This window comes from Homo sapiens, chromosome 5 (genome assembly GCF_000001405.40).
Source record: "Homo sapiens chromosome 5, GRCh38.p14 Primary Assembly".
In the NCBI taxonomy this organism is placed as follows: domain Eukaryota; kingdom Metazoa; phylum Chordata; class Mammalia; order Primates; family Hominidae; genus Homo; species Homo sapiens.
Window position 1 is genome coordinate 89095237 of NC_000005.10, and position 27276 is coordinate 89122512.

Genomic DNA, 27276 nt, shown 5'->3' on the forward strand with positions numbered 1-27276 from the left:
TTTCCTCTCCTTTCTGACATTAATACAGTCAAGGCTGTCTTCTCTTAGTTGCTTTGTGAGGCAAAGGAAAATAAAGGTGATGAAATGCTAGTCACTAATTTGTACTCAAGCAAAATATTTGGTTGAGAGAGAACTTAAAAATTTAACCACAACAAAACTTGTAAGAGTTTTTGTCTTAAAAATAACTTAATTCTCACAATGGATATCTTTGGTGCCCTCATTACATCCCCTTGGCCACATATGCTTGTGGCCACAATTGCATTTCATGGTTGGTTTCTTGTAAGCCCAGGCATAACTTCTCTCAGGATGGTGGTTTCCTATCTTAAGCACTTGGTTGGTATCTTTCAGCTTATATCCTCTGGGCTTTCTCAGCTATGCTGGCATTTCACCTGTGGCCTGAAGTGAACACTGCTAAGAAGTGTGGGGTATTTAAAAATGGAAAATAAGGCCGGGTGCGGTGGCTTACACCTGTAATTCCAGCACTTTGGGAGGCTGAGGTGGGTGGATCACGAGGTCAGGAGATTGAGTCCATTCTGGCTAACACAGTGAAACCCCATCTCTACTAAAAATACAAAAAATTAGCTGGGCGTGGTGGCAGGCGCCGGTAGTCCCAGCTGCTCGGGAGGCTGAGGCAGGAGAATGGCGTGAACCCAGGAGGCGGAGCTTGCAGTGAGCTGAGATCCCGCCACTGCACTCCAGCCTGTGAGACTCCGTCTCAAAAAAAAAAAAAAAAAAAAGGAAAATATATCACCCCTGGGGACAACTTTAAACAAAGAAATAAGAGCTGCCAACTCCTCTTCTTCAGGTGGACAATGCTGGAAGACGTTCTGTATGCTTCTTAGAGGTCTGAGCAGACTTGAGGCTTTACAGAAGTAAGGTCAATAATAAGCTCTTACATTTGCACTTTTCCTGCCTGCCTCTCCCCACTCCTTCATTCCTGCTTACTGAGATGACCTCCAAACCAAGCCACATGCTCTTACATCCTTGTCTGAGGCTCTGCTTTCAGCGGAACAAAATTAAAATATTTTCCACAAATACATAAAAAGACCAATAATTGGGTGATTTTTAATCAATTTAAATTTAATTTTTAAATTTTTAAAACAAACCTGTCCTCAATTCTGTTGCTCTCATTTTCATTATCATCATAACCATTATCATCATCTTCATAACTCATGGAAAAGTAAATAAAATACGCAAAAATATTTAAAGGTCATATGTAAAGAGTTTTATGCCAGACTTGGAGGCTTAGCAAATGGCCTTTTATTTTGGGGAAATCAGAAAATAGAAGACCTGCAAGGGACATTAGATTAAAACTTGTGTCTGACTTTGACTGGAAGAGATTAAAAAAAGGGAAACATTGCTTACATAGAAAACATTTGCCCTATTAATTGCTGTATCTACTGATGATGTATATTTATCTCGGATGCATATTTATCTGCTTGATCTACTGATGATCCTACTATTGTAGGGAAAAAATAGGGCAATTCAAAAAGGATATTTAGATACAATCATTATCTAAAGCTCTTAATCACAATAAATGTATTAAAAATTTTGAACTCCTAGGAGTGTGATGATAAAATACATGTTATAGAACTGTCTCCATTTATGTTGTAGCTAATTTTTTCACCTAATTCATACCCAGATGTTCCCAGATACATGACAACATTTGGGCCTCTTTATAGTCTTTCTCCTGATATGATATGATATTAAGGCAAAAACAGCTCTAACGTTCACATTATCTCTATTGTGGCCTATTATTAATTCAGGAAATGTGATCATATAATTAATGTATTTCTAAAACAAAGCTTCATTGTAATCTGCTTTCAGTGTCATCATAATTTCAAAACATGTTATTGAAAGGTACTATGGTATAAATGGTTAATTTTGACCAAAAAAATTCAAAATCAACCTCTGTGCTCTAATGGGAGAAGGAAGGAATTCCCAAGAGTTTTTGTTAATACGTTAAATACTACATTTCTTTTGAACTTCCCCAGTGCCTTCTTATGGTAAATAGCTACTTGAACAGAGGTATAGTTTCTATTCCTGTTAAAGTATGAGTCATATCAAAATCTAATCAAGTAAGTGAAAGGTAAAAATGTCATCACACTTCTAAAATTGCTGTCAATATTTCACACCTGTATGGAAAGCAGATAGATGTCTAAGCAGCAGCTTGATAACATTCCAAACTGCAACCTCTAATTAACTCACCTTTTGAATTATTAGCGAGACTCCACTGCGACCCATGCAGCCTTTGGCAGGGAGCCTGACAACAAAATGCATGTCTAAAATACCAAGGAGGGGGAGAAGTGCTATATTATTTGGCACAAATATTATCATCCACCTGTGAAGAGGGAATATGCTTTTCCACTTTGCTTATTATAGATGATTTACTAGTTATATGCTCTTGGCTTCATCTCCATAAATTATACTATAATCATTCAGCCTAAGGGATAATGGTAAAACTATGGTTGATATACTCAATACGGTAGGGAAAGTTAATTAAATTAGATAAAAATATTTCAATGATATTTACATGCTCTCAATATTTAGAGTCTGATACAAACCATGAAATTTGTATGGAAGAGTCTATAGAGCATACAGTTTGTATTATGAGACTAAAGCTGACTTAGACACATCTGGAACTTGGAACAGAGAAAACCCATGTCATGTAATAATTTGATAATGCAAGTATTTGAGGATTTAGTTTGTCTCTTGATAAATTAATAAGGAGGCTTCACTACAAATACAGTGTGAGAAAGTGGTGGTCACTAAAGTTCTATGAGGCTGATTATTTTAAACAGCTTAGAATGATAAAATCACTTACTTGAGGCAATGCACATCGTGTAAGTCTTTTTGTAATATTTTTTCTTCAAAAGTGGCTGGAACTAATTTTTTTTTTATTTTTCCACCAGTAGTAATTCTTTTGTTAATCTATTAAAGGAAATCTAAGAGCATCTATTGTATTGAGAAAATGTTTATTATGAGTGCTAGAGATTCAGTCATATACCAAATATTAATACTCTAGTAACAAAATGTTTTACTAGTATATATGAACATGATTAAAATGACAACCCCAGAGAAAACTAGCAAGGTGTTATTTTGATAGGTTTCTTTGAAAGGAGAAGGAGATGATGTAACCTAATATATTTTATAAGAAATGATACAAACTAAAACTATATATTCCTTTTATTCTCCCTCCCCATCCCTCCCCCACTCCTTCCCTCTCTCCTTTCTTTCTTTCCTTCCTTCCTTCCTTCTTTCCTTCCTTTCTTCCTTCCTCCCCTCTTCCTCCCCCTTCCTACCTTCCTCTCTCCCTCCCTCCCTTCATTCCTTCCTCTCTTCCTCCTTCCCTTCATTCCTTCCTCTCTTGCTCCTTTCCTCCTTTCTTCTCATCCTCCTTCCCTCCTTTCCTCCCTCCTTTCCTTTTATTGTATTATCTATATAGCAATGATAACTATTATTATGATCATTTCTTTTTCTTAAGATTTTCCATTTTAATTTTATTTATTTATTTTTATTTCAATAGTTTTTGGGGTATAAGTGGTTTTTTATTACATGACAAGTTACATGGTGTTGAATTCTGAGATTTTAGTGTACTGGTTACCCAAGTAGTGTGCATGGTACCCCATATGTAGTTTGTATCCCTCACCTCCTCCCATCCTCCCCCTTCTGAGTATTCAAAGTCCATTATACCACCCTGTATGCCTTTGCATACCCATAGCTTAACTCCCACTTATAAGTGAGAATATGAGGTATTTGATTTTCCATTCTTGAGTTACTTCACTTAGAATAATGGCTTCCAGATCTATCCAAGTTGCTGCAAAAGCATTTTTTCCTTTTTATGGCTGAGTAGTATTCCATGGTGTGTATATACCACATTTTCTCTATCTACTCGTTGGTCAGTGGGCACTCAGGTTGGTTCTGTATCTTTGCAATTGTGAATTGTGCTGCAATAAACATACAATGTGCATGAGTGTTTTTCATGTAATGGCTTCTTTTCCTTTGGGTAGATACCCAGTAGTGGGATTGCCAAATCGAATGCTGAATTGAACAGATCTACTTTTTGTTCCTTAATTAATCTCCATACTGTTTTCCATAGAGGTTGTACTAATTTACATGTCCACCAGCATCATATAAGTGTTCACTTTTCCTTATATCCATGCCAACATCTATTGTTTTTTGAGTTTTTAATAATGGCCATTGTTGCAGGAGTAAGGTGATATCTCATTGTGGTTTTAATTAGCATTTCCTTGAGGATTAGTAGGCTGTTGAGCATTTTTTCATATGTTTGTTGGCCATTTATATATCTTCCTTTGAGAAATGTCTACTCATGTCCTTTTCCCACTTTTTGATTGGATTATTTGTTCTTTTCTTGATGATTTGCTTGAGTTCCTTTTAGATTCTGGATATTAGCCCTTTGCTGGATATATAGTTTGCAAACATTTTTCTGCCATTCTGTGGGTTGTCTGTTTACTCTGCTGATTATTTCCTTTTCTGTGCAGAAGCTTTTTCATCTAATTAGGTCCCATTTATTTATTTTTGTTTTTGTTACATTTGCTTTTGGGGTTTTAGTCATGAGTTCTTTGCCTAGGCCAATGTCTAGAAGAGTTTTTCTAAGTTATCTTCTAGAATTTTTATGTTTTTCTGTCTTAGATTTAAGCTTTTGTCCTATCTTGAGTTGATTTTTGTGTAAGGTGAGAGATTGGGATCCAGTTTCATTCTTCTACATGTGGCTATTCATTTTTCCCAGCAGCATCTACAAAACAGGGTGTCCTTTCCCCAATTTCTGTTTTTGTATGCTTTATTATAGATCAGTTGCTTGTAAATATTTGGCTTTATTTCTGGGTTCTCTCTCCTGTTCCGTTGGTCTATGTGCCTACGTTTATACCAGAAGCATGCTGTTTTGGTAACTATAGGCTGGTAGTATAATTTGAAGTCCAGTAGTGTGATGCCTCCAGATTTGTTCTTTTTACTTAGGACTGCTTTGGCTGTTTGGGCTCTTTTGGCTTCATACAAATTTGGAAATTGTTTTTTCTAATTCTGTGAAACATGCTATTGGTATTTTGATAGGAATTGCATTAAACGTGTAGATTGCTTTGGATAGTATGGTCATTTTCACAATATTGAGTCTTCAAATCCATGAATATGGGATGTGTTTCCATTTATTTGTGTCATCTGTGATTTCTTTCAGCAGCGTTTTGTGGTTCTCTACTTGTAGGGATTTTTCACTTCTTGTTTCAGTATATTCCTAGGTATTTTATTTTTATTTTTTGCAGCTGTTGTAAAAGAGATTTGTATGTCCTGCCTCCTGAAAAAAAATAGAAAATCCTTTTTTGGTTATATGATGAAGGACAAAAATTGCTGAATTTGAGGGAAAGGGACAGAAATCATTATAAAAATATAGTCTGTGAGAGATGAGTTAGAAATATTCCTTTACCCATATATGATTTCAGAATTACAATATGAGAGGTTTTGTTGTTGTTATTGTTTTTGTTTTTCTAGTTCAATCACAAGGTTATATAAACACTTCTGTCCTCTGTTCTGGGACTCTCTCTTAAGAGAACCCTGCTCCTCATCTATCAAATATACAGATATGTAGTTTAAATCCATTGTTTTAGAGTGAGACTGCCTGGCTTGCTTACTTCCTGAATCTTTTTTTAATTTGCTGCATTATATACTCTTCATGGTCCCAAAATATTTCATGTAGCCTATATTTCACTATTTCTTTCTCCAGAGCAGTAGCACGTATCTACCATTTCACACTGAAAAGATTGTCACAAATTGAAAAAAAGTCTAGTATGAACATGATCAGTTAAAGAACATGATTTAGCTAATGATGTTTAAGAATATGACATCTACTTTTATGGGTAAAATAACATTATACTGCTATTAGGTCTTTCTATATTAATCTGGAAATTAAAAAGCACTAGGCTTCATTGAGATTTCCTCCTTTTTAGAAGAGGATTGACTGACTTTTCCCAAAAAGCCATATTCAGTTCTAAGTCTTAGGCCTTTAAATGGCATTATACCCATGTTATGGTTTCTAAACCAAAGAATTTCTCTTTTCTGCTAACCTCTTGAGGTCACAGTGGTGGTTTGAAGTCTAAGCAGCAATTCTGTTCAAAGAGTAACTCACAGCAGGATGTGTGCAATAAGGGTATTCGTGATTCCAGTATTCACATATATTCCATTTTGCTTTTTAGAAAGTTTGGTTCTGAGGCTACTACAAAGGCAACACTCTTGAAACATGTCATTTTCTATACCTCCCTCTACTGAAAGCCTTATATAATGACATTGGAGCTGTATTACTCAAATTTTCATTGCTACAATGTCATTTTAGAACACTCATTGGAGTCCTTGATCCTCATGTGCCCTTTGCTCTAGAGTACCTTCCATTCACCCTTGAGAAGGGGTTCAAGGGTCACTCATTGAAAGGAGCTGGCTCTTCAAGCCAAGGACCATCCCTTTAACATGGACATTTTTCTGAATAGTGGGTAGAATATAATAGGAGTTGTATTTTGTAGAATGGACTTAAGAACATGAACTCTGATTCCTGACTGCCTGGATTTGAGTCTTTTCTCTACCACTTATTCGTTGCTTGAATTTAGGCAAATTTCTTAAACTCTTTGTATGTCAGTTTCTTCATCTATACTAGCATCATAAGAGTGATGTGAGATTTAAGTTAATGTATACAATGGCCAATGTCTAACACATCACAGTGCTGTATAACTCTTATCATTATTAGTGTTGTTCTCATCAGAATATGTATCTGCCTTTCTTAGTGTTTCCCAGATATTCAATGACAAATTTATTTCCATATCTGATGAAGTTACCCAAAATCTAGGACTAGGCTTTATGCAATTGAAAAGGGAGAGGAAGAATTATTTTATTAAGATTGCTTCTACTGCTGATGTACCAGGTCAGCAAATCGTGACATAAAATATAGATTTTTTAAAACTTAAGAAGTGTAACGGATATTTTTTTAAAGTTTAGCAAACATATATTGTGTTCACTGTGTACAGGACTACTGCTATTGCAGGGGAGGCAGACAAAGATGACTCAGATAGGAATTGTTGTCAGTGAACTTACAGAAAAGTAGGAAGGTATAATGTATAAAAGGAACAATAATATGAAGGGAAAATTATGAATGCCTTCAGAAATAATTCATTTTTTTTCCTGTGGATTTAGAAAAGTGAGAGTGAGTAAAGGGCATGTTTGAAGTGTGGGATTTCTTAGAGAAAGTGGCATTTAAGTAGTCCAGGCTGAATACAATTCCTACATATGGAGAAAAAGAACTGTGGTCATGAGGAAGACTGCTGGAACAGTGGCTGGAAATATGAACTATGTACTTAGACCATCAGCTCAGCTTGCTTGAGCCAAGAATCTCTGATGAGAAATAAGTTTGAAGTGGTAAGCCAGAATTAGATCATGAATTGATCTGAATGTTAGGGTAAAGATTTTTTGTTTTGTTTTGTTTTGATCAACATTAAGTTGTATACGACCAAGTATGAAGCAAGGTATAACAATGAAAATTAGCACCTTTGCTTTTAAGAATCCTACAGTCAAGAGGCAGGATTAAAAATATACACCAAATAGGCCGGGCGCGGTGGCTCACGCCTGTAATCCCAGCACTTTGGGAGGCCAAGGTGGGTGGATCACGAGGTCAGGAAATCAAGACCATCCTGGCTAACACGGTGAAACCCCATCTCTACTAAAAATACAAAAAATTAGCCAGGCGTGGTGGCAGGTACCTGTAGTCCCAGCTACTCCGGAGGCTGAGGCAGGAGAATGGCGTGAACCCGGGAGACGGAGCTTGCAGTGACCCGAGATCGCTACACGACACTCCAGCCTGGGCAACAGAGCAAGACTGCGTCTCAAAAAAAAAAAAATTATATACACAAACACACACACACACACACACATATATATATACCCATATATGTAATACATATGTATATGTATATATGTATGTGTATATATATACACCAAATCATTCTTGGTCACTGACTCTCCCAATATCAATAGACAGGAGCAGCCCTGGCAATGCCAGATGCTTCCATGAGGCTGGAGAGAGAATTAGTTGTAATAGCCATATCCCTAAGGTCAGCTGCTCATCCTTGGCTTTTTGATTGGCTGTATCCTCTGAAGCCTTCGTGATTTCCCATCTTTCTCTTTCAAACCGAATGTGTCAAAGCCTTAGCATTGTCCTAAATGTGGATTTTTTCTTGACTCTGCCTTGTACCTTTGAAGTTACACCCTAGTACCGTTTGTGTGTGGCTTATTGTTCTTGGATGCCATCAACAGCACAGCTACCTCACAACTTGGGTTACATTTATGATGGTCCATCCCTCCAATAGAGACCACACTTGGGTTTACTTATTTGGATGAGGATATGTTTTCCATTCAGTCATTTCTCTTTCTCTTAAGATTTTTGTATGGCTTCTTCAGGAAAATAATTTCAGCATCATAGGGAAAATGGACAGAAGGAAATAGTCTAGAATAAGGTAAACCTGTTAGAAACTCTTGAAGAAAGTCAGGGGGAACTGACCTGGGATTGAACCAGGGTGTAAATGGCAGAGGAAGAGGAATGATGGAAAGGAGAGAATAGATGCTAGAGATGTTGCAAAGGAAAGGGTAACAACCAGTGCAACCGGTTGCCAGGATTCAGCAACAAGTTGTGTAGAAAAAGGGAGGGTGAAGGTGATTTTGAACTAGAGTAACCAAAATATGCAGGGTGGAAGGTTTTGCTATTAACAGAATAAGGAAAATAGAAAACAGTATAGTTTTGGGGGAAAAAAAGTTCAGTTTTGAACATATTGAGAAATCTGATGAATAACCAGATGAAGATCACTATTAAGCATTTGGAAATGAGGATCTGTAACTTCAGAGGGAGCCAGCCTGGAAATATGTATTTGAGAATTATTTGAGGTATTAGTTCATGCTGAGATTAAATGATTGCCAAGAAGGTAATTTTCCAAGGAATGAGTTATTTGGCGAATATGATGAAATTAGGAAATAGGAGGATAAAGGTGAGAGAGATAAAGAAGAGAGAGAGAGAGAGAGAGAGTGAGAGTAACACAAAAGTTAGAAGGAGAAATAACAAGGGCACATCCAACTTAGTGATAATGAAAAGTTCATTAATACATTTTATTAGGCAAAGTTCTCCAAAGAACAGAATCAATTGTATATGTATATAGATATATATAGAATATATCTCTATCTATCTATCTATCTATCTATCTATCTATCTATCTATCTATCTATCTATCATCTATCTACATATTCCTATAAAGAATTGGCTTACATAATTATGGATGCTGACAAGTCCAAACTCTGTAGGGTGAGCTGGCAGGATGGAGACCCAGGAGAGTCAATGTTCCAGTTTGAATCCAAAGGCCATTTGCTATAGAACCAGGAAGGGCCAGTGATGTAGATACAGTCTGAAGGCAGCTTGCTGGAGAATTATCTCCTGTCTAGAGGGGATTCTGGTCTTTTTGTTCTATTCTGGTTTCCAGCTGCTTCGGTGAGGCCCGCTCACATCATGGAGAGCAATCTGCTTTACTCAAAGTTCACTGATTTAAATGTTAGTCACATCCAAAAACACCCTCACAAAAATACTTAGAATAATATCTGGGCAAATATCTGGCATTCCATGGGCCATCCATGTTTATACATAAAATTAATCACCAGAAGCTCACTTCTGTCAATTGGCCCCCATACACATCTCCTTATATCATAATTAATCTTCAAATGAAAACAATAACAAGGTTATACCTCTGCCTGACACGATACGACTATCCAGCATACAACCAAAAATGCACTAACTTTTTCCCCAGAAGAGAATACAAAGTTCTTGACTATTGTTTGCTCTTCTCCTTGATATCCTGTAACTTAAATACCATGATACAAAGTCAATACATTTTATGTTACATGGTATTAATACACACACACACACACACACACACACACACGTTTATAACAAACTGAGGAGGGAATACTAATGCCAATTACATTTATCCTTCCTGTAACAGGTCATGTGGTCATAGCTGGTATGTATAACTACTTTCTTCCATTCTGTATTCCCTTTGCCTTCAGCAAGCATCTCAGCTGGCTGTGGCTTTTTAACCTGGTGGAGTTACCCAAACCTTCATTCCTGAAGGGTCTGGGCCATGCCTAGTACTGCCTGAATTGTGTTGTGGTTTTCCATTGACCTTAACCACAGGGAATAATAATACTAAGAAATGGCCTAAGGGATTTCCTGTATTCCAAACATACTTTTTCTTACTTCCATTATGGAATAACAGTTCAATTTCTCCTTGGTAGTCAGGATCAGTCACCACAGATAGCACAATAACTCCCTCCTTTGCTTCAGGTGTAAGGAGTCTAAAGTGGATAGGTGGCAATCCAGTTCAATTGAATCATCATTTCATCTCTTGGTGGAAGCATTCCTCCTTTTGGAACCAAACTGTCTAGGCTAGCAGAGCCTAAGGTTGCAGGGACAGGAGGAAAACTTTCTGCTAGTAAATCACTAGGATGAAGAACTAAGAACTCTTGGTCAGCAGAGTCAAAGATTGCAGGGATAGAAGAAAAAAATTGCTTGTAGATAGCAAAAAAAAAAAAAAAATTAACAGTGTATCAATAGTGAGTGGCCCTACTTTTATTTCCATCTCTTGATCCTTGGACCCATTAATTCTGGCTATGCGAGAAACCGCATCATATATTGGATGTTGATTCAGACCACATACAGCCCCATGGAGCTGCAGCTGATACTTCAAAAGGTCATTCCACTGTTTTATCAAGCCAGCTTCTTCAGGACAGTGGGGAAGATGGTGAGTGACTGAATTCCATGATCATGAGCTCATTGCTTCACTTCATTTCTGTGAAGTGAGTTCCTTGATTAGAGGTAATGCTGTATGGAATACCATTGTGGTACATAAGACATTCTAGTCCACAGCTGGCAGTTTTTGCAGAAACATTGTATTCAGGGAATTAAAATTCATATCCAGGGTCTATTCCACAAGACAAAAGGCTGCCTGTTCCGTGATGGAAGTGGTCCAACGCCTTTAACCTGCAACCAGGTAGCTGGTTGATCATTCTGAGAAAAAGCACCATATTGAGAAGTGTTGGTTTCTGCTACTCTCATGATGTACACCTTCAAACACTTTTAGACATTTTTGAAATTTTGAAATGCTGATGTGATACACCGTCTTAAATTTCATCTTGGAAACCCTGCTTGCAAACCCATATTGTTCCCAGAGGAATCATTTTCTCTCCAATTTTTAGTTAGACAACGAGGAAAACTTATTAATACTTTCAGGTCATCAGATTGCTTAATATCCTTCACCATAATTAGTAATTCTTAAAAAGTTATATATAATTGCAAAGGAAAGGAAAGTACTATAGGGAAGTCCCAACTAGAGCAGTCAGACAAGAGAAAGAAATAAAGGGCATCCAAATTGGAAAAGGAGGAAGTGAAATTGTTTGCAGATGATGTGATCTTATACTTGGAAAAACCAAAATGTTCCACTGAAAGAACTATTAGGACTGATAAATAAATTCAGTAAAGTTGCAGTATACAAAAATCAACAGAGAAAAATCAGTAGCATCTCTATATTGCCAACAGTAAACAATCTGAAATAGAAATCAAGAAAGTAATTCCACTTATAATAGTTACAAATAAAATACCTAGGCATTACCTTAAACAGAGAAGCAAAAAGCTCTATAATAGGAATCATAAAACATCGATTCAAGAAATTGAAGAGGACACACAAAAAATGGAAAGATATTCCATGTTTGTGGATTGGAAGAATAAATATTGTTAAAATGTTCGTATCATCCAAAGCAATCTACAGATTTAATGCAATCCCTATGAAAATACCAATGTCATTCTTCACAGAAATAGAAAATCTTAAAGTTTATATGGGACCACAGAAGACCAGAGTAGCCATAGCAATCGTAAGAAAAAGAACAAAATGGGAGGAATCATATTACCTGACTTTAAATTATAAAACAGAGCTACAGTAACCAAAAATGTGTGGTAGTGGTATAAAGACACATAGATAAGTGGAATGGAACAGAGAACCCCGAGATAAATCCATACATCTACAGCGAAATCATTTTTGACAAAGGTGCCAAGAATAAACATTGGGGAAATGATAATCTCTTCATATGGATATCCATATGAAGAAGAATGAAACTAGACCCCTACTTCTCACCATATACAAAAATCAATCAAAGTGGATTTAAGACTTAAATCTAGGACTGTAAACTATGAAACTACTACCAGAAAACATTGGGGAAAATCTGTAGGACTTTGGACTGGGCAAGGATTTCTTGAGTAATTCCCCACAAACATAGGCAACCAAAGCAAAAATGGAGAAATGGGATCACATCACATTTTTAACCTATTCAGGTTAAAAAGCTTCTGCACAGCAAAGGAAACAATTACCACAGTGAAGAGAAAACCCACAGAACAAGAGAACATATCTGCAAACTACTCATTTGACAAGAGATTAATAACTAAAATATATAAGGAGATCCAACAACTCTGTATGAAAATATCTAATACTCCAATTAAAAATTGCTGAAAGAGGTCGGGCACTGTGGCTCATGCCTGTAATCCCAGCACTTTGTGAGGCCAAGGCGGGCAGATCACTTGAGGTCACGAGACCAGCCTAGCCAACATGGTGAAACCCTGTCTACTAAAAATAAAAAAATTAGCCAGGTGTGATGGTGCATGCCTGTAGTTCCAGCTACTGAGGAGGCTGAGGCAGGAGAATTGCTTGAACCAGGGAGGCAGAGGTTGCAGTGAGCCATGATGGTGCCACTGCACTCCAGCTCGGTGACTGAGTGAGACTTTGTCTAAATAAATAAAGAAATATTGCCAAAAGATTTGAATAGACATTCCTCAAAAGAAGACATACAATTGTCATATAGTAATATGAAAAGGTGCTCAACATCATAATCATCAGAAAAATGGAAATCAAAACTACAGTAAGATATCATCTTCCCCTAGTTAAAATGGCTTATATCTAAAAGTCAGGCAATGACAAATACTGGCAAGGATGTAGAGTAAAGGGAACCCTTGTACACTGTTGATGGGAATGTAAACTAGTACAACCTCTGTGGAAAACAGTTTGGAGGTTCCTCAAAAAGCTAAAAACAGAGCTACCATATGAGCCAGCAATCTCACTGCTGGGTATATACCCAAAATGAAGGAAATTAATATATTAAAGAGATATCAGTGCATTAAAGAGAATCACTTCCATGTTTGTTGCAGCTCTGCTCACTATTGTGAACTATTCCAAGATTTGGAAGCAACTTAAGTGTCCATCAACAAGTGAATGTATAAAGAAAATGTGGTACATTTGTACAATGGAGCACTATTCAGTCATGAAAAAGAAAGATTTTGTCGTTTGCAACAACATACATAGAACTGGAGCTCATTATGTCAGGTGAAATAAGCCAGGCACAGAGAGACAAACTTCACATGTTCTCACTTATTTGTGAGCTCTAAAAGAAAAATAATTGAACTCATGGAGATAGAGAATAGAAGGATGGTTGTCAGAGGCTGAGAAAGGTGGGGAGGGGATGGATAGTGGGTATAAAAAAATAGAAAGAATGAATAAGACCTAGTATTTACTAGTACAACAGGATCACATTAGTCAAAAATAATGTAATTATACATTTTAAAATAACTTGAAGAGTATAAGTGGCTTGTTTGTAACACAAGGGATAAATGCTTGAGGTGATGGATATTCCATTTACCCTGATATGATGATTACACATTGCATGCCTGTATCAAAATATCTTATGTAGCCCATAAATATATATGCCTACTGTGTATCCATGAAAATAAAAAAATAAAAAGATAGCATTCTAGGCAAAAGAATAGAAGTTTTAATGGCTTATTTTGTTGTGTCCTCCTTGACACTCTATAAACAATAAACAATTCAGTTACTTTTCTCAAGCCGAAATTTCATTTGGGACATTTTGAACACTGGGGCATGAAGGATATGTATATTCAAATTTATGTAAAATGTCTATACACTAATAATGGAAACCAGGATAGAGTGCTACTATGACAATAACAATTGGATCCTGCCAGTGTCCTCAGCCAGGTGATATTTCAAGTATAGTTTTTGAATAACTGTTTACACAGGAGTTTGCTTAAGCAGTACCATGAGTTTGTATAAGATATGCAACACAAGTAACTTTGCACATTTAAAATTTAAAGGGACCTGGAGATTTATTGATCACTGGTGGCTTTTAATTAGATGGCATGAATAGAAGGGAAAGATTAAAAATCTTAGAAAGCACTCAAAATACTTGAAAAAAAATCTAAAATAAAACCCACAAATATTTCCTCACTCTTTCAGGTAGCAATAAAACTATAAGTCATCTAGACCTTTGTGGAAAGTAGGTAAAATTTCCTAGCATTTTAAAAAACTATTTGTGAAGGAAAAAGAGCAAAAAAGAACAGGGCATGAAAATTCTTCTAAAGACATAAACGTATACCTCATACCTCCTGTCACTCCCACCATTTCCCTTCTGAAGCAGAACAGTCTGGATAATGTTTTCAAGTATGAATTCTTTTCACCAGTCCCTTTCCTACACCATGTTCTGTTTCAATTTTGAAACTTATTTGAGTCAGAGCTGGAAATGACTGTAATTAATTCATATATCATATAAAAGAGAGCACAAGAAAATTAAAAATGGCCCCACCCAAGAGAATATTTAAAGCATCTCTTCCTGGAGACTTTCAGGGAATTTTGGAGAATGACTGGGAACAGCTCTTATTCAGTATCCCTCATGAGATGTATGAGCTCTTCCTCCTTTACCCCAACAGCTCTTCTTCATATGTTGTAGAGTAAGAGTCCTCCTAGAGTGATAACCTTAAACAAACTCCTAAAGGCTACTTAAGGATAAGTGACACTTTCAGCAAACATCAAAGCTAGATTCCAAGGAAGTCTCGACTTTAAGCTGTCTTAAAGCAAATTGTAAATTTTACTGACACTTGTGTTCACAATTAAAAAGAAAAGAAAAAAATATACGTATATATATTTCTATGGCCTGACGTGGTGGCTCACACCTGTAATCCCAGCACTTTGGGAGGCCAAGGTGGGCGGATCATGAGGTCAGGAGTTCAAGACCAGCCTGACCAATATAGTGAAATCCCGTCTCTCCTAAAAATACAAAAACTAGCTAGGCGTGGTGGCACATGCCTGTAGTCCCAGCTACTTGGGAGGCTGAGGCAGGAGAATCACTTGAACCCAGGAAGCAGAGGTTGCAGTGAGCCAAGATTGCGCCACTGCACTCCAGCCTGAGCGAAAGAGCAAGACTCTGTCTCAAAAAAAAAAAAAAAAAGAAAAAGAAAAAGAAAAGATATTTCTATCAGACCAATGTGTTTATTGAAATCATCTCTAATGACATGCAGACACTGTTTACTTTTTCTTGTTCCCAACCTCTCTGACTTTTAAAAGCTAGTGAAAGTGTTTTCATAGAAATGTTATTTAATCACTAGGAAAAAATTGTACCAAGATAAGTAAAACGACTATACAACTGTGATTCAAAGCTTCAGAAAAGCATTTAGTGTTGTTTAATACACTGTTTAAATGTATTAAATTAATATTGCTTGGCATTTTAGATATTTGCTCATCTTTTGGATTCCCAAAAGTATTTGAAATTAGAAAATTATTTAAAATAGAACTAATTTTGAAAATGTTGTATTGCTATTGACCAACTAGATTATGTAATAATTATATACTCATGTATATTACTTAATTTGGTTTCTGAGAAAAATAATTTGAGGATGAGGTTAGTAACTATTTATATGGCAACTGCTATGTGCCAGGTGCCAGGCTTTGTTCTAAAAGCTCTGTATACGCTGACTGATTTCCTCATCCCAGGACGAGTATTATGCCCAATTTACAGATGAGGAAATGGAAAGTTATGTAGCTTTCCAGTGGTCACTGGTAGAGCTGAGTCTTTAATGACTTCTTAATTTGATCCTTGTGGGGCATCTCTGACCTCAATAACTGGTCTACTTATACTGATTTTTGAGGGTAGAAAAAGAAGAAATTTAACTAACATTAAAAAATTGGCCAAAGATCTAGGTGTTCTTCTTTGTCAAAACAAAAAAATGTTGAAAAGTCTTACATGAGTTTTGGTGACTCATTCAAGCCACAGATGTCCAGATCCCAATACCTCCATTGACTCAAGCCAGTTGTCACACTCAACCCCACTAAATGTTTGTTCACAGCTCTACTTTCTCATTTCTCCTGTCACAAAGGGGTAAGGAACGAATTGAAGGAGCCTGTCAGCATTTACCCTCCCACTTGTCATTTTTGGCTAGGCCACGCTTTAACCAATTTTCATCTGCACTTTGAGCAAACCTCAAACTGCAGTCATGTCTTTTAAAACTTTGGGACATTGTTTCTCTGACCAAATTAGCTATATGTTGAAGCAGTATGATGACTATAGACAAAGGAAGTTGGTAAGGGAGTTATAAATAGTAACTAATTCCTAATGCCTTGTAGGAATTTGGTAGCAGAAAGTAAATAAAAACATTTTCGACTGTTCTATGTCACCACTTTTATTTTTTTGAAGATATGCTTAATATTCCTTCTTGAATGCCTGCCTGAAAATTACTATTCAGTTTGAGAAAACTAAGGAATCCGTGTCAATTAGAGAGTTTGCTAATTGAGAGCCTCTAATTAAAGAGCCTACCTACATTGAGAATATAGATAGAACTAAAATTCAAATGGTGACACTCCAGTGACGCTTTCTAGAGCTGAACCAAGTTCTGGTACATGGATTTTTAGAGAAATGGATTAACTCAAGGGTCAAACTTCCCTTAGACATATATCTCAAAATTCTTCTAGGAAATGAAAAGTTCAAGTCCAATTCAAGTTTAAATTATTTATATATTAAGTAATTAAATATGCAGTCTATAATGTAGAATAGAAAGGTGTTCATTCACATTGCTCATTTTAAAATTCAGTTTCTGAATAGGAATATACTTTCCTTTTCTATGCCTAGAAAGAAGCATTACAACAAATGTGTATGATGAACCACAAGTTTCTTAAATAAAATGTGCTCACAGATTTTTTCGTCTGCCATTATTTTATATTTTGATACAAGTTCATTTACAGGACTCTTACCATTCCTAAGAATTCAATGTCTTGCTATATTCCTTTCACATAAACACAAGCACTTTGTTAAAAAATACATACCAAATATTAAAAGATAGATGGTCTTGGAACAATTTCATATCACACCGGATTGCAAAACAAATGAGTCCTTGTATCAAGGTACATTGGTAATTTCTGGATATGAATAACATTAAAAAGAATGAGTTTATTGAGGAGGCAGAACCATTGAATTCTCAAGGCTGGGTGTATACTCGCTTCAATGTTAATGGCACTTGTGTTTTCACACTTTTGGAGAAACAGACTTCTGTTCATTTGTTGCTTTTTGTATGGAATTCCTTATACCAATAAATTTTAAAATGTTTTTTATTATGTTTAGTGTAACATAATTTTTAAATGGATACTCTTTTGTTATCTAAAGCACCATATAGATAGTTTTTCTGATAACGAGGAGCACAATTTACATGTTAAAAACTATGTTGATAAATTTAACACTGAAAAAAGAATAACCAAAATAGAGCAGACTTTACTTTTTGATTGCAATGATTTTGTGTTTGCCTTCCAAAAAGAAAAACAACAGGGACAAACAGTAATGTTTAATGTTTGGAAACTGCCAAAGCAGTCATATAATTTCATTGTTATACCTAGTCCAGAAAAACGCAAGTGTACAGAAAATGATTCTCCCATTAAAGGACATTTTACCTCTATCTTTACTTAGATTCAGAATATCTAAGTAATATAGCTCTAGACAGCTTCAGCCTCTACTAATGCTCAAAAGAAACTGCCTAATAAATATATTTGCAGCACATAAGCTCGTATGGTAGCTTACCATAGTTATGTTCTATTTCTTGGATATGAAGCCGTTGAAATGGAAAGTATTAAGGCCTTTCCAAAGGGAACTATTTTTGATAGTTTATTACTTGCCTTGAGCTTACAGTTGTAAGGTTCTGACTTTATTAATTCATACATACTGTATTATTCCCAAAATGTTTAAATTTGCTTTTAGGGTCAGTTGCTCTGTTATCAGTAGTCTCTTATGAAGAATGCCAGATTTCTATGAAATGAAAACCAATGCTTAAAGTAACGTTATAAAACAGTAATTTGAGAGCAATTAGTTCTTGAGCATCATAAGAAATATATATATGTTACCAATTTCTCTCGAAGAGGAGTTTTCTTCCTTCTTCTTGATTACCTACATTTTAAATATACTTTTTTGAAATAATATTTAGGAATTATAAGGGATATTTCTAAATTTTATATTTTAAAATTTCAGAATATTTTTAAAACTCATAAATACTAATGCAACATAGTAAAATTTGAATTATAAATATTTCCAATTTGTATTAAAAAGTTGGTGGAGAAAGATCTTTTAGGTCCACCAATATTAAAATTTCTTTGTCTTAATACACAACTTTTATGACTCTTCCATAATTGCACTACAATTAGATTTTAATTCAACGTAGAAGTCTAGATGATATGAATTTTTTAAAATAGAGGATACAAGAGGATTAAATTGGTTCTTTTTACAAGTAATTGTTAACAGACATTGTTGGAGGTAAAGAGAATTCTTTTTGCTATAACAAAATACCTTTAAATTTAACTATATAAAATAGGAAACATTGGGCATCAGAAAAGATAGTTTTACAAAGGATTGATCAAGTTGATAGTCTACTAATGGATTTTACTGAGATAGTGCTCCTTAAACACTGTTTTCTGAGAATGTGGGGTTATATTTTCCATTGATAGTGATAGGAATTGATGGATAAATAGAATACATTATGAATCTGAAATCAATGTACAATGGAATGGCAATTAAAAAAATAGCTATCATATACCCTACGTAATCAAGCCTTAGCTGAGGCCATGATTTCAAAATATTTTTTAACCTTTTCTGAAGACAATTATAAACATATATTGTGGCATAATTAAATTTCAGTTTAACAAATTCATCAGTCATTTTGGTATTATGATAAGAATTATAAATCTCATAGCTTCGTGCAAAAATTATTCATCAGTCCTATAAAGCAATTGGTATTAAAGAGTTGGTATTAAAGGCGACCTTTGAAACATTAATACCTATTCTGCTTGATTTTCACCCTTTGTAAATTCTTATAACCAATTTGTAGAAATATGTGGAAAACATTTGTAATATGAAATCAACTATTAATTATTTAGAGAATGGTATCCAATTTGTGAAATATCTAGTAACTACCTTCTGGTTGGCCACTGTGTTGCCATTTTATCATCTTACAAATACCTATCAGAGAGAAAGCAAACCAAAGTAAACCAAATAAACCAAAAATAAAGCAAACCCAAACCTGCTTAGTTTTGTTGGTATTTAATTGTTTTAAGAAAAATTTGATTTGGAAAGATGGAAATTGAGATTTTGACTTAATAACTGGATTTTAATTTTATCCGGCTTTTGTTGATATTATGGAGGTGGTGTAAGAAGTGATTTATGGCTGTGTATGGATGTGTGTGTGTGTGTGTGTGTGTGTGTGTGTGTATGTATGTAACTGAAAACACTGCCACGCAAATAAAGCTGAAATAGGAAAAATAATAGAGCATAAGCAAATACTTTTCCCAAAATTAACACATTAAATCTGATCAGCAACCACAGTGATGGAAAGAGGCCATTGCTATTCTCGACTAGTAAGGAAAAGAAACCAAACCAAGGAGATAGGGTTTATTGCCAAATATAAAACTAATTTTAAGACAAAATGCTAGTAAAATTATGCCAAACAGTTTTTTAAAAGAAAATTGAATATTGACTAGAATTTTAAGTGGTGTTTTGTTTAATGAAATCTCAGTGTTAATAAGTTTCTTTTTTAAACAAAAACAAAAACAAAACAAAAAACAAACAAAAGACAGCAAGATCTTTTGAGTTTGGTTTCCTACCAGGTTAGCCTTGAGAGACAGGTTGGCCATAGGGGCTTAACTGTTCTAGCCTCCATCTTTGTGATGTAATTGTTTTGAGTCTCTAGGAGAATATGTGAGAAATACAGGAGAGCAGATCTATAAAGTACACTTTGTTCTCTCCAGTGGATCCTTAAGGTTTCATGATTTCACCTCTTCATTATCACTTGTTTGACTTTATCATCAAGATTAATTTGTTCTTCCAAATGGATTATTCAAGTTTATTTTAAAAATCTGTGTATTTTCCTTTTCTGTAGATTCTCCAAAATAGCTATAAGAGAAGGGCCACTAAAAGGCTTCAATTTTGCTGAATTGTTGGCATCTGAGTTATGTGACTTATTTGCACAGGGAAATATGTTGGGTTTTCAGGAGAATTCATGGCTTGTCTTTTTTTTTAACTGCCTAGTAAGACTTGCAATGTGACATTTGACTTTGAAAAAAGATACTGCACTAACAATTTTAAATTGATTAGTATGTACACAGCTACTTCTAATTTTTTGGACAAAAGAAAGGAGTACAATCTTTGGCTTTGAAATCATACTATTTGAAGTGATACATTTAGACTTGATACAAAATACAGAAATGTTTTTAATTCCATACTTCTCTAAACTGCTTGGACCAAAATATATTGTTCTTTTTTTTTTTAATTGATTATCTATAGAGTGAGTGGGGAGAATATGACATTGTGGCTAATTATTCATTAGCTGTCTTATTTTTTCCTGGAAAATTCTATGTATGACAGGAACTAATAATTAAAAAATAAAATTCGAAGTAAATAGAAGAAAAGATTAATTTGTTTTGTGCCACATATGGGCATAGTTGTGGGTTACTGTTGTAGGGACACAGCTCTTGAAAAATGTATTCATTGTTCCTCAATATTTTAATTGGATTATTTATATTTATTTACATAAATAAAAAATTACCCTTTTATAAAAAAATTCATAGCAAAATATGATAATACCATTGTTCAACTTTTGTAAAACAGAATTATGCTATATAACTGTTTCAGTTACAAGTCTAATTTATAAATCTCTCTGAAATATTTATGTTACTTAATGAATAGATCACAGAAAGGTTTCCTAAAACATTTCCCATTGATTTTTAACCTAAGTTACTTCATATTTTATTTTGGGTGGTCTCCAATTACAAATTCATTTGTAAGTTGTTGTTTTGTAAAACAATTTAATCCTGGCATGTAACTTAATTCAGAATTCAATCAGGCTGATTCTATAATATGTTAAAGAGAAAGTACACCGATATGACAAATATGACTTTTACAGAAAAAATTTAGGATCTGTCCTTGGAAGGAACTCTACTGCTTTATAGGTGTAGAAAGTGAGAGCTGACAAGAAATTCCTCTGGATCTTAGGAAAACAAACGAACCATAAAAAGTATTATACTTATAACTATTATGTATCATTCCGACAATTTAGTACAGCATTATAAGAAAGATGACATATCAGCCAATCTCATTTTTAATCCAATTATATTTAAGAAAGCAGAGCACATACATATAGCTGTACAGCAAGCAGTAAAAAGGAGAGAACTGTGTTTCTCTCATGCACACACATATTTGAATGGACATAAACATGGGAATAATAGGCACCATGGGCTACTAGACTGGGGAGGGAGGGTGGGTATGGGTTGAAAAACTACCTATTGTTTACTATATTCATTACTTGGGTGATAGGATCTGGACCCCAAACCTCAGCATGACCCAATATACCAAGCCTGTATATGTACCCTTTTATCTAAAATAAAAGTTGAATTGTTTTTTAAAAGAAAGGAAGAAAAGCCTCATGGTAATTTTAGTTTGCTGATCATAGTTTTAACTATGAGTAGTGGAAGGGTGTGGAGCCTGGGGGTGGATCACATCTTGTGGTTGTCTTTACCACAGTCAGCTCAGGGGGCAGGGACTGGGAGGGCAGGATGGTACATAGACCCTGGAAGCTAGCCAGCCATGGCCATTAATTAACTTGAATGACTACATTTCAGAATTTGTGAGGTACAAAGTACTTTAAGTTTCTGAGAAAATGAAGACTTTAAAATCTTCTACAGTTTTCCAATCTGCTCATTAAGTATTCACATTTATAGGCAGTTCAACCCTATCTGTGAAAGAGAAAAATTTTCTAAATATTGAAAAGTGGCTTGGTGTTAGTGAAACTATAATACACAGTAAAGACCACAGTGTGAATAGTTTAAAGTGACCAAAAAGAGAATCGAAAGAATTGAACCCCTGACCTTAACCAGATTGAGTAGATATTATCTCATAAGAAAGGAAATGAATTTGCAGATGACTTCCCAATATACTGGATTACAGAGTGTCTCACAAATCCCTTACTCAGGTAAAAGAGTGATCGTGGTGACTGACAATAATGTTCCTCATTTGAAGGAAGGTCTCCCTGAGTTGAAAACAAAATCATCTGGCAAAATAGGGTGATAGTCTTATTTTAAGACAACAGAATTCAGTGTGATACTTCTGTTAAAAAAAATTGTAGAATGCACTTAATACCTCAAATTGAATGAATTGCATGGTAATAATTATCTCTCTATGTATTCTAGCCAGTTAGTGAAAATGATTCCTTTATAGACAGGCTAATTGGATTATACATAGAACAATTCAAGATATCTAAAACTATTAGGCTATCGATCAATTGATATGACTCCTGATACTTGAAATAAGTAAAATTGCCAAAGTCAAAGCCAAAGCCATTTTGGCTGCTTCTCCAACTGTGAAAGTCATTAAAATAAAATTATCTCAAGACCCAATTACTTCATGGATGTATTTTAATGGTTATTGTTTTGTTAATCATTTTATTGCAATTAAAAGCTTGCTAAATAGTTCTTTTTAAGTGTCCCAACATTTTTCTTAAACTTGGGTGATTCTGCAATGGAGGTTTTTTGTAGATCAGTGCCTAATCTGTCCACTTTTTATCCTATACATCAATATCATTGTGGAAAAAAAGATTCTATTTTTTCTTGGTTTAGATGGAAAATTTAAATACCAATGTCAGATGACAAAACACTTAATCAATAGGCAGTTTATGTCTTTACAGTGAAAGAAATCCCAGGGCAAAATAAAGGAAAATGGGGGACTATTTTGAAACCTTGAGGGTAATAGCCAGCTAACAATGGTTGGAGTTAAAGCTTGGTCGTGGTAAAACATGCTTCTAGGTGCCATGTTCCAGGAAAGGTGGAGAGATAGTTGGTGTGAGATAGGCAAAGAGGGTGTGAATTTCAAAGACTAGCTTTCTTATGAACAAAAACATCGTAGTTCTCAAACATAGATTTCATCTTTTATTTATTCAATAAACTTTCATTGAACATTTACTACATACCAAGAAATTCATATGTGATACAACCCAAAGGTGATTTAGACAGATATGTGACTTTAAAGAACTCTTCCTCCTGAAAGGAAATAAACAGTCATGTGCAATGCAATAAATATGATAGTAGGAATATGAACAAAGTAGTAATTTATCAAATAGAGCTGTTTTCAGGATGCATACGGCATCGAAAATCCTTAACAAGAAAAATGTATTTTCCCTGATTGAAAAAAGAGTGTCACTATGTATTGGTAGTTATATTTCACAGGGAGTAAGAGTGTGGGAATTTTCAGGGAAGTGGATGGAGTGGGAATTTTCAGGGAAGTGGATGTATTTTAGGCAACATATAAGGTAGAAAAGTGCATTGTACATCTCCAGAGAAGGAAGGGAATGGGGGAAATGGGGAAGATGGGAGGGGAGTCCAGGAAGATGTGAGTCTGAAAGGCTGGGTCACTAAGGGCATTGTTCCTTATTTCTAAGGAGATTCAGATTGGTACTATAGGCAAGTGGAAATCATTGGAGAATTTTAACTTTGAGTGCATGGTCAGAATTTTGTTCTGGGAAAATCATTCCTACGGCAATTAGAAGATGAGTGGAGGCTGGTAACAGGGAATTAGGAGGTTATGACAGATGATGAGAGTCTTTACCTGGGAAGATGAAGAGGAATTGGAAATAGATGAAAAGTTAAGAGTAAAATGATGGTGATGAATGAAAAGATTTAACTAGCACTTATAGGGTAGCATTGAGAGTAGGGATATGAGAGGATCTTAAGGTTTTTAGCAAGGGAACTGGATGGGTAATAGTAACTAACTTCTCAGTGTTTATGTACAAACAGCAAATCTATTCAGATGTGTATACCCCCTTGTTTTCTGTAAAAATATAGCCAGGGTTATATCTTCAGATAGTCTGTGGCAGTATGTATTCTTGGGGAAATTTACTCTGATATATATTTGGAGGACAGTTGTCAAAATAAAAATATCAGGCAACTTACACTGTAACACTATAATTTATCAACTTTCTTCAATCTGTAAATCAACTTCCTCTCTGTCTCTCTCTCTCTCTCTCCCTCTCAGTTTCTCTCACTCCCTGTGATATATAACTACCAATACATAGTGGCACTGTCTTTTTTTTTATCAGGGGAAAATACACTTTTCTTGTTAAGGATTTTAGATGCCGTATGCATCCTTAAAATGCTTTTGGGAGAAAGGAGCTGTGTAAGTCTTGCATTATTTCATTAAAAATTATGAGTCAACAGGGCAGAATGTATTCTACAGTTTATGCCTGCCTGTGAACATTAGAACAAATCTCCCAGGTCAGGATTTGGTGGTGGAGTGTGGGAATTTTCCATGCCTTTTAGCATTGATGCCTATGACTTTTAGTCCAAGTTATCAGTTCAAAATGAATGGGAGCCATTTCCTATTCATTTTGTGAAGTGTGGACAGTGGTTTTGATAAATGAACAAGGCTTTGGATAATTTGAGTAAAATCCTTTTCTAGGTAACACCTTGTGCACTATAGAGACTAAAAAGAATGACGTTTTAGATAAAGGAAAAATGTGCATGTGAAGCCTATTGATAGAAAATTCTTTTGGTTATGTTCTGAATCTAAATCTGTAATCATAATAAAGAAATACATCTGTAGGCCTAGGAAGAGGGAAGGGAAAGGAGGAAAAAGGAGCCAAAATAAATGTTATTGGCAGTACAATAATGTTTTCTGATCATAGATTTTAATAAGAAGCCAAGATGTCTCAATGTAAGTTAAAAATGTAACATCAACTTTGTAGAGGGGAATTAGGAAGAATACATACACAAACACACACACACACACTCACACACTACATCATTACAATGACCTTGAAGTCACAATATTAAAGGAAAAAGATAAAAGAAAGCTGGAAAAACTGGAAGAGCGCTTACTATTCTGCGCGCAGAAAATATTTAATTTAAACACTCTAAGAAATTACGTCCAAAGAATCATTATCCCAGGAAACATCTATAGAATGAATGTATTTCGAGATCTTCATTACAGTTTAATTTGCATAGATATTTTGGGGAACTCTAGGACTCTAAGTGTGTCCCTAGGATTTTATTTGCAGAAATGAAGTAAACTATGGATAAGCTTTTCTCAAGTCTTAAATACTAGGTTTGAGACTGCACGAAAGAAGCATAATAGACTCCACTCAGGCACACTCAGGGAGAATATCAAGATAGAGTGTGACACTTTACCCACTGTTAAGGAAGAGACTGAGAGCTTGAATGCTGACTCAGGGAATGGGGAAAGAGTGCTTGCTTCCTCAGTGTGGCAATAAGGGAATTGGGCAAGTTCAGCTTGCTGGCAGAACTATGTTACACTGCAAAGCATGAGACGGGTTCAATGGAGCGAGTCTGAGCAACCCTTTAGGGCAGGGTATCCCAAACTTACCTGACTACTGAAACATGTTTAAGTTACAATGCATTAATGGAATACCAACAGAAGTGACAGGACATATTGCATACTTTGATCAAAGAAGACCTCAAACATGACCGGTCTTATATCTGATTTAAAAGCTGCAAAAAAGGGGCAAAACTTATTCATATGTGTGCTGTAGCTTTATAGCACCACCAACCAGATAATTTATTTTATTTCATTAATAACAAGAAACCTAATTATTTCAAGCTTAAGTATAATAAAATATCAAAACATTTTTATCAGGACAGTATATTAAAAATTATTTTTATAGCATATTCACTTAATATTGTTATATAATATGAAATCTTATTTTACATAGGAACTGTGTAGAAAAAAGAGAATAGGAATTGTATATTTTGCAACATTTGGGTAATCTTAGATGGACTGCTCTAAGAATTACTTCAAAGACAGGAAAAAATGAGATCCATCAACTTAATTTTGAAATATTCCAAATTTTACTTGTTGACGTGTTTTATTTAGACACAATTTGAAAACGATATGACTCTTCTTTTGTTTAATTCCCTCCTTTTTCAATTGTAGTTCATGGTAAATGGGATCATGAGGTATACATTTTTCATATGTGACAAACATTAAAACTATACAGTATTTTACAGTTGTAAAATGCTACTAAAAACCAATCATCTTCAAATAGACAATACATGTCAACCTGAGGGTTAAGTGGTAAATACTGCATCAAGGTGTAGATTAAAAGTCATAAAGTCGCTCTTGTGACTTCTGGGTGTGCTGGTGTGCATTTCTTTCTTTCTTTCTTTCTTTTTTTTTTTTTTTGAGACGGAGTCTTACTCTGTCGCCCAGGCTGGAGTGCAGTGACGCGATCTCTGCTCACTGCAAGCTCCGCCTCCCAGGTTCACGCCATTCTCCTGCCTCAGCTTTCTGAGTAGCTGGGACTACAGGCGCCCGCCACCACGCCCGGCTAATTTTTTGTATTTTTAGTAGAGACGGGGTTTCACCGTGTTAGCCAGGATGATTTCGTTCTCCTGACCTCGTGATCCGCCCGCCTCCGCCTCCCAAAGTGGTGTACATTTCTTAAAAGCAGAGAATTGTATGACAATTGTAGTTGTTTGCACATTTATTCAAAATTTTCATAAATTAATATATAAAATAAATGCGGAGACAAAAATACTTCTAGGTATGTGCCTCTCTGTCTCTCTCTCTCTCTCTGTGTATGTGTGTGTGTGTATGCGTGTGACCTTGAAGAACAGAGTTTGGGAATCGTTGCTTGTAATTGCAGAGAGCAATGTAACACTCTCCATTATCCAGTCAATTAAAGAAAGGTTCAAGGCTACGATTTAACACAAAAATTATATAAATTCTTTGGGAAAAGGTACTAGAAGTTGCTACTGTTTCCTGAACGCCCACCTGTCATTGTTGCCTTTATCAAGAATTGCTGCTGAAAACCATCCTAGAGACAGAAGC

General features: G+C 35.3%; 1 long non-coding RNA gene across 6 annotated transcripts in view; it reads left to right on the top strand.

Moving 5' to 3' along the window:
* MEF2C-AS1 (MEF2C antisense RNA 1) overlaps positions 1-27276 on the top strand; it is a 584252-nt gene that overhangs the window by 211907 nt on the left and 345069 nt on the right. The gene's annotated exons all lie outside the window — the stretch shown is intronic.